We start from the raw sequence: 8,219 nt of genomic DNA, 5'->3' as shown, positions 1-8,219 counted from the left end.
AAACCTCAGGTTTGCTGCTTACTGGATGAGATGCTGGGCAAATTATTATGTCTTTGCACCTCAGTTTCCTTATCTGTAAAATGGGGGTAGTAATACTTACCACCATATAGGGTTTGGGGAGGATTAAATGAGTTAACATATAAAAAGTTCTTAGAACAGTGCATACACGTAGCAAGCTCAATAAGTGTTAGCATTTTATTGCATTTCTGGGGCAGGGACTCCAGAATAATGGGGGAGGAGGCTTCTAAGTCCTTTCCAACCCTAATGTACCTTCTCTTCATGTCAGGAACAGAACTGCCATCTCTCCACCACTTGCTAGAGCAGACAGCTGGCAGAGAGCTATGTGTTCTCAAATTGTTTGAAAAGTGGAATGACTCTCTTGTCCTTCTGTTAGCCTGTGTTCCTTGTTGATTTTGGTAAACTACCAGTTAAAATTTAAAAAAAATGGAGACAATAAAGGATTGTCGTAATCTTTCAAAGTCATTAGCAATGGAAGCTTCCTAATATCTTTCTGCTAGACACATCCACAGCAAGTGATTAAGGAGCATAAACATATTATGTACTTTAAAAATACTTTTAATACCAACAGTACATCCTCTCTGTAAACAATTTAGAAAAAAAAATGATCAGCCATAATAATCCTACTTCTTACTAAGATATTGGTGTATTGCCTTACATAGCTTTCTCTATAGATAGATGGATAGATAGACAGATAGACAGATGATAGAGAGACAGATTGAAAAATGAGATTGTTCCATACAAGTTGCTTTAAAACATTTTTCACTGAATATAGTATGAATAGCAAACTGTGCCTTGAAATATTATTTCACATTATTTGACTCTAATTTTACTCTTAGAAGGTGACTTACTTTGATATAAAAAGGGTATCTTGCTATCTAACTAATGTCTCTGAAAATACAGATAAACAAGAGATTTAAGAAAATCTATAGATAAATGTCCATACAAAGCTTAAAGGGATTAGCTGAAAACAGCCAATAGGGAAATGCTTTGCACATAGATAATTTTTTTGAGTGGAACTGGGATCACCAAACCTTTTCCTAAAGCTGCTAAAAAATCACATTCAGAAGTATTTTTTAAATCCCTTCTCTTGGTCTCTACCCTCCCACAGGAAAAATTACTGAAGATAGGTTAAGAAAGACATTTTATCAGCATTAGCAAGGAGAGTTATCAAGTTGATTAGATAGAATATAAACTGAATTGGAAACTTTGAAATAATTCTGATTTCAATTGTGGGGATCAGGAAGGAAGCAAAAAGTAGGACACTGGACCAATATTTTGTTCTCTAAAGGTCATGGATGTGAGCTAATTACACAGGGTACATTCCTCTGTGGAACTAGAGAGAGCCCTGCTTTTGTGTATGTGCCTCTTTCAGGTACATAATGTAGAGGACACAAAAAAATTAGACTCTTCCTTCTTTCTGGGAGTCAAGGACATATTGTCCCCCTATGGTTACGTACCACCAGACATAAGCAGCATAACCCAAAATTGACTTCTGACTTTTATAATTAGTTCCTAAATCAAGAGAATGTAATAAGTATACTAATACATTATACAACGGTTTGAATGGGAAAGAATTAGGGATAAAAATAAGGTAAAGGATTTTAAGTCTGTTTTGGGGTAGCGACTACCACTAAATGAATTCGAAAATTATTTAACTTTAAGTAGTGCTTTGAAGAACATGGAAAGAATGAGAGACCCCATTCATGTTAAATCCTTCTCATATCGTTCCAATTGGCAAGAAAGCAAGAATGCATACCAGGAGAGGTCAAGGTGATTTTGAGGCAGTGATGCCCCCCTCTCCCTGTGCAGCAAAACAGTGTGGTTATGGAATTCAAAAAGGAATGAAGGCAGGCAGAGGGACTTGGAATGGTGCACGGGGGGAAAGAAGTAATATTGAGAACTTTGAAGTGGTGAGTTTGACTTTCATGTGGAAACAATTGATGACATCATCAATATCTTAAAAAAATGATGACACAATCCAAGTGGCAGGAAAGATGGGAAATCTTGTTTGAACATACTTCGAGTGTACAGGACATAGAAGCAGAATGTGAGCAGAGGAGATGAAAAGACTGGAAACTGCCTGTTGATAAGTAGAAAATGAGTCTGTGGGCAGAGCAAAGAGGAAAAGGGCATCTTAGTTGGATCCAAAAATAAGACCCATACTTTCTAAGGATCTAAATATGTGATACATCAACAGAAAGGTAAAAGAAAGTGGTAAGCATCTCTGTTTTGGACCTGGAAGGAGAATTATGTATTCTTTGAACTGGGATGAGAAGAAATAGGAAAGGCTTTAAAATTATACCAAGCAAAATAATGGGAAGTTAAGAAAAGATGCTGTTCAGTCAGAGCTGGAGATTTCAAGTCCAAGTCATTGTGATAGTAAAATTCAAACTCACCACTAAAGTGATAGACAAAATATATATTATATCCTCAGGATAAAATATATTGTCCTGAGGAAAACAGAGAAATAGAGAAAAGCATTGATGCAAACCTTTTTGCATTAATTTCTTTCTTTTCACAAAAAAGGAGATGATAGAAAACTGACCTACTTACTGGTAATGGTAAATCAGCATTGAAGCTCAAACATTAGATAATGTGCATCCTGGGAAACGGAAGAGTCAGATTGTGAATGGGCTAGGATCACATTTCTGCCCAGGGAACTGTTGGGTAAAAGAGAGTGAACCTAGATTAGACCTGGAATGGACTTTAGTAAAAGCAAAAATCTACATTTTACAAGTGTTTGAATGTCTCGCTTTTCAAGTTTTGCCTCAGAGAGACAAGTTTGCCAAACCAGTTCATGCGCTAAGGTCTCAAAGCAAAGTAAACCTTAAGAAGGCAAACAAAAGCTTTGCTCAGGCAAAATAGCTTGAACAGGCTTGAAAACAGACACATTAAACAGAACCTAGAGTATGAACTTGACTAATTGTTTTCTTTCCCGTTATTTGATTTGGATGTAAACAGTGATACACAACTCATCCAGTCCTGTCTCCACCCTATAAAGGTATTTCCTTTTGATATTTCTGTTTATTTTTTTTCAAGAGGAAGAGAACTATTATTGGTTTCTGCAAGGTGTAAATGGGAACTAAAGTCAAGTCTATACATCACCAGGCAAATGAGATGGGACGATACGATTGGCTAACTCACACCTATAATGGAGAATTTTAAAGCCAGTGATCAACAGGGGGCTTTTGGCTCTCTTGGCATTAAGAACTACACCAGGGAACTGGACACAGACACCTCTTAAAAATTATGATTGTCTGCTTCTCTCTTATATAGAGGGATATGACCATAAATCATTTTACCATATTTTTACCACTAAGGTCACAGCTAATTTTCATGGAAGGACCATTAGGTGAATGGCATTGATTATTTATTTTGACCAGCTATTGAAAAGCTCAGATTGGATCCACTAAGTGTTTTGAATTGACTACCTAATTGAGATATATAACAATTTAATTAAATTCAAAATGCAGACAATTGACAAAACCATTACAAAGAAAAATTCTTAAATGGAATTGAACAAACAGATGGTTAGGCTGAATTATTAAGAATGGGTCATGTGAAATAATATAGCTACAGAGAAGAGCGCGTCATGGCTCAGAGAATGTCCAACTTAGCTGATCTGAAGCTAGTCTTTCTCTCTGCTTTATCAAGGAGTCTTCCAGGATGAGGAGCTATGTATAGAGGGAGAGACTGCTAGGATTTGAATGTAAGGAGGAAAATGACTGAGTGGTTATGGAAGGGAGTGATGGTTCTAGGTATCCAGAACAATACGAATTTGTGCGGATGTGTTGAGCAAAAGGGTGAACTCAGTAAAGTTACTTCATTTTTTGAGACTTAGTCAAAAATCTGGGTGAATAATATGTATATTGTGGTAGTTTGTGGGGAATAAATGAAATGATTTAATGTTAGTAAATTACCTACAGTGGGGCTTACAGCAAATGTTCAACAAATGTAGCTGCTATTATTGTTGTTGTTAACGTTATTGTGATGTCAGGGTCAAGCTTGTTTCCCAGATAGAGAGGTTGATTTTTTTTGTGTATGTTTGCCTCAAGGCCAGCCATTTCACAATGCTTATTAATGAGCACAGTAATTGAGGGACATAGAAACTGTAAAGGCCAGAGACAGCAAATAAAGGGCACATGTGTCTCATGCTCACTACTTCTACACCCAAAGCAGACATAAGTAATCAATTGTAGTACTCTCCACTGACCCTGAGCTCACCCTCGAAATCCTTCCCACATTCTTTTTCAGGCAGCTCCCAGCCCAGTGATTCAAAGGGAGCACTTGAGATGAAATCTACTTGGTAAAATAGAGTTAGCTCCGATGAAATTGCACTCAGGGGAATAGTACTCATGGGGAAAATGAGCCGAAGTTTTACCATTTTTAGAGGATAAAACAGCTTTGAAGAAAAACGTGAGTTGATTAGTGCAATGAGCAAAGTTTGTTCTGATACGAGATTCAAAGATTAATAAACTGTCCTTTTTCTCAGGATATTGTTTTGTCATAGTAAAGGAAAACATTGAGCTTAGGTTGGGGAAAAAACATATGCCGAACACAGTGTTTTCAGTAACAGCTGCTGAACAATCGAGGAGACATCATGTCCTGCCTCTGAGTCCTTTACCTTGCTCCTCTAAATGGAAACACAAGTGCCTGGGGATATTTGAAGCATGACAAACACTGGAGGAGTGCTGATGGAAAGCCCTGTAAAGAATTTCCATGCCTGATCATATAACAGATGGCTCCCTACAAAAATCATTTTAATATTAAACAGACAATTCAGGCCTATGAAAAATTCTGCCATAAATCTGTAATTGAAAATATTAAAAAACATCCATTCAAAAAGACTGTAAATTTTTACAAGGAATTTCTTATGCATTTCAGAGCTTATATCAAAAGAGGGAATGTCCCCTCTTATTTAAAGAGGGGATGTCAAATCAATTCAAAGTTCTATAGACTTAAAAAAAAATCTTAGAAAGAAAGGTGTGTGTCTCTGTATGGCTCTGTGTGTGCGTGTGTCTGTTACTTTGTCTGTTTGATCTTCTCACACACCTATACTCACTGAACACCTTCCTCAGCCCATACTGACCCATAGGCCCTCCTGCTTCTCCCGTCCTTCAGCTCCTTGTGGATTCCGTAGTCCTTTAGCCCAGCATCGATCCCATGCTCAGATGCTTTTGATGACACTCTTTTTAGGACACTCTGGAATGTCTGACTTTCTTGATTTCCCACCACTCCTATTGCTACTCCGGCAAGAGCTCTGAAAGTCAAGGCTTTTGAGGACTTGGCAGTTTCCTGGGTCCTCAAGTTATTGCTGCTGAGATTTCAGTTCGATAGTATACATGATTTTGTCCAGCCTTCTTTGTTGCTGTTACTTGTTTTTCGTTGCTACCCAAAACACCTCCCAGCAATTCGTAGCCCTAAGTGAATTCTCACCCCATCATTTCCCCATCTGCTTTATGCATGGAGAAAGGAGAGACCTGCCCAGCATCTCACTTCTAGAGCATGGCCTTCACCTGCTGCCTGGCCCACCTGCCCCTTCACACCCTATGAAGCTTCTTGCTTCAGGCCTCCATGGAGTTGTGTTAACATCTGTAGATTCTAGCTTCTCTTAGATCAGAACCCTGGTAGTTCAAGAGATTGTAGGAGAGATGTGGACAAACTTTTAAAAAATTAAATAGTTATATATTTGTTTTAGTATGATTTTTAGAAAAAAGTTATCAAAACCATAATTTCATGGACTTTTTAATTATTATGATTAAGGGGAAGGCTAAGGAAAAACAGTCCATTTAAAGTTGGCTTTGAAGACTCAAGGCAAGGTGAAGAGAGGATGCAAAACAAGGACACCAGATGCTAATCTGAGGAAGACTGTGGAATGAAAGGATGTTTGATGGTCCAAGTTAGAAAACATAAAGACAATCATCTGCACTGGACATGTGTCTGTAATTGGCAAATGGAAATATATTCTCTGTCCCCCTCTCTTTCAGGTCATAGACTCTTGTCTTCCCTATCCAGACATTACAAGACAGCGTTTCCAATTTCCACGCTGTTGAGCTAGGTGATATGGCTCTTTAGCACTTCTTCTGCACCATAATAGCAATAAAATCTCTTAAGAGTTTAGGAGTCAACTGATTTTGCTTCCAGACAATTCTCCAGTCCTTTAAGGAGCCATAGCAACTAAAAGGATATACTGATGTTTGGTAGTTGTTGTTATTGGCTTTCTTTTTGTTTATTTTGATTTATTTACTTTATATTTAACAAAAGCAGGAAACATCAGTGAAGAGTGAGGGTGGTCAGCCCCAGGTGTCCTTTGCTTCCTGAATAGGAAGTCTTTTGTTAGCATCCATTAACACGTTAGGGGACTTTCAAATCAACATGCCCTTCCTGACCCAGAAAGGGCTGTGGTCGTAAATGGTTCCCTTAGGGGGAAGCTTAATAGTTCCCTGGTCCTTACTTAACATGGGAGGAGGTTTAAGTTTAAGTTCTCACATAATAAAGGCTTCAAAATTTTTACTTTAACAGCTGCTTACATAGAGCTATGGGAAGGCTTACTCCAGGCACTTCACTAATATTAACGGATTTATTTTAATCTCCTTAATAACTCCATGACTAAGTGTACCTTATGTCCCCATTTTCGAGTTGAAAAGATGAGGCACAGAAAAAATACATAATGGGCTCACAACCCTACAAAGAGTGAGAGGAAATTTGAACTAGGATTCACATGTTTTCCACCACTATCCGAGGCTGAAAAGTACTAAAAAGGGGCCAGGCCCTCATATGCAGATTTATCTAGTCTCTAAAATTGAGGTGGAAGAATAAAAGACAATGGTATCTTTATGCATTCCTCCAAGAAGAAGCACACATGTCCTCGACAACACACACATACACACTTACATATGCATATATAGGGCTGACTTCACAGGTGTGTGATCTGTGCAGTCTCACAGGGCCCTGCATTTAGAAGGACCCCGACACATAGTTTAAAGCTCTACTGTAGCCGTCTTGAAATTCTTTATAATTTTTGAATAAGGAATCCTGCATTTTCTTTTTTTTTAAATTTTATTATTATTACACTTTAAGTTTTAGGGTACATGTGCACAATGTGCAGGTTTGTTACATATGTCTACATGTGCCATGTTGGTGTGCTGCACCCATTAACTCGTCATTTAACATTAGGTATATCTCCTAATGCTATCCCTCCCCCCTCCCCCCACCCCACAACAGTCCCCAGAGTGTGATGTTCCCCTTCCTGTGTCCATGTGTTCTCATTGTTCAATTCCCACCTATGAGTGAGAACATGCGGTGTTTGGTTTTTTGTCCTTGGGATAGTTTGCTGAGAATGATGGTTTCCAGTTTCATCCATGTCCCTACAAAGGACATGAACTCATCATTTTTTATGGCTGCATAGTATTCCATGGTGTATATGTGCCACATTTTCTTAATCCAGTCTATCGTTCTTGGACATTTGGGTTGGTTCCAAGTCTTTGCTATTGTGAATAGTGCCACAATAAACAGACATGTGCATGTGTCTTTATAGCAGCATGATTTATAATCCTTTGGGTATATACCCAGTAATGGGATGGCTGGGTCAAATGGTATTTCTAGTTCTAGATCCCTGAGGAATCGCCACACTGACTTCCACAATGGTTGCACTAGTTTACAGTCCCACCAACAGTGTAAAAGTGTTCCTATTTCTCCACATCCTCTCCAGCCCCTGTTGTTTCCTGACTTTTTAACGATAGCCATTCTAACTGGTGTGAGATGGTATCTCATTGTGGTTTTGATTTGCATTTCTCTGATGGCCAGTGATGATGAGCATTTTTTCATGTGTTTTTTGGCTGCATAAATGTCTTCTTTTGAGAGGTGTCTGTTCATATCCTTTGCCCACTTTTTGATGGGGTTGTTTGTTTATTTCTTGTAAATTTGTTGGAGTTCATTTTAGATTCTGGATATTAGCCCTTTGTCAGATGAGTAGGTTGCGAAAATGTTCTCCCATTTTGTAGGTTGCCTGTTCACTCTGATGGTAGTTTCTTTTGCTGTGCAGAAGCTCTTTAGTTTAATTAGATCCCATTTGTCAATTTTGGCTTTTGTTGCCATTGCTTTTGGTGTTTTAGACATGAAGTCCTTGCCCATGCCTATGTCCTGAATGGTATTGCCTAGGTTTTCTTCTAGGATTTTTATGGTTTTAGGTCTAACAT

The 8,219-nt window shown here is 38.3% G+C and overlaps 1 annotated feature.

The window, feature by feature from the left end:
* Positions 6,000 to 6,612: an enhancer, noted in NCBI's record as "OCT4-NANOG hESC enhancer chr9:3696328-3696940 (GRCh37/hg19 assembly coordinates)". NCBI's record gives its function as "activates a minimal SCP1, AML or CMV promoter by ChIP-STARR-seq in primed H9 embryonic stem cells {active_cell/tissue: H9 hESC(primed)}" and the evidence as "EXISTENCE:reporter gene assay evidence [ECO:0000049][PMID:30033119]".

This window comes from Homo sapiens, chromosome 9 (genome assembly GCF_000001405.40).
Source record: "Homo sapiens chromosome 9, GRCh38.p14 Primary Assembly".
Classification (NCBI taxonomy): domain Eukaryota; kingdom Metazoa; phylum Chordata; class Mammalia; order Primates; family Hominidae; genus Homo; species Homo sapiens.
Note: the sequence above shows the minus strand (reverse complement) of the source record. Positions and strands in the feature narration are given on the sequence as shown.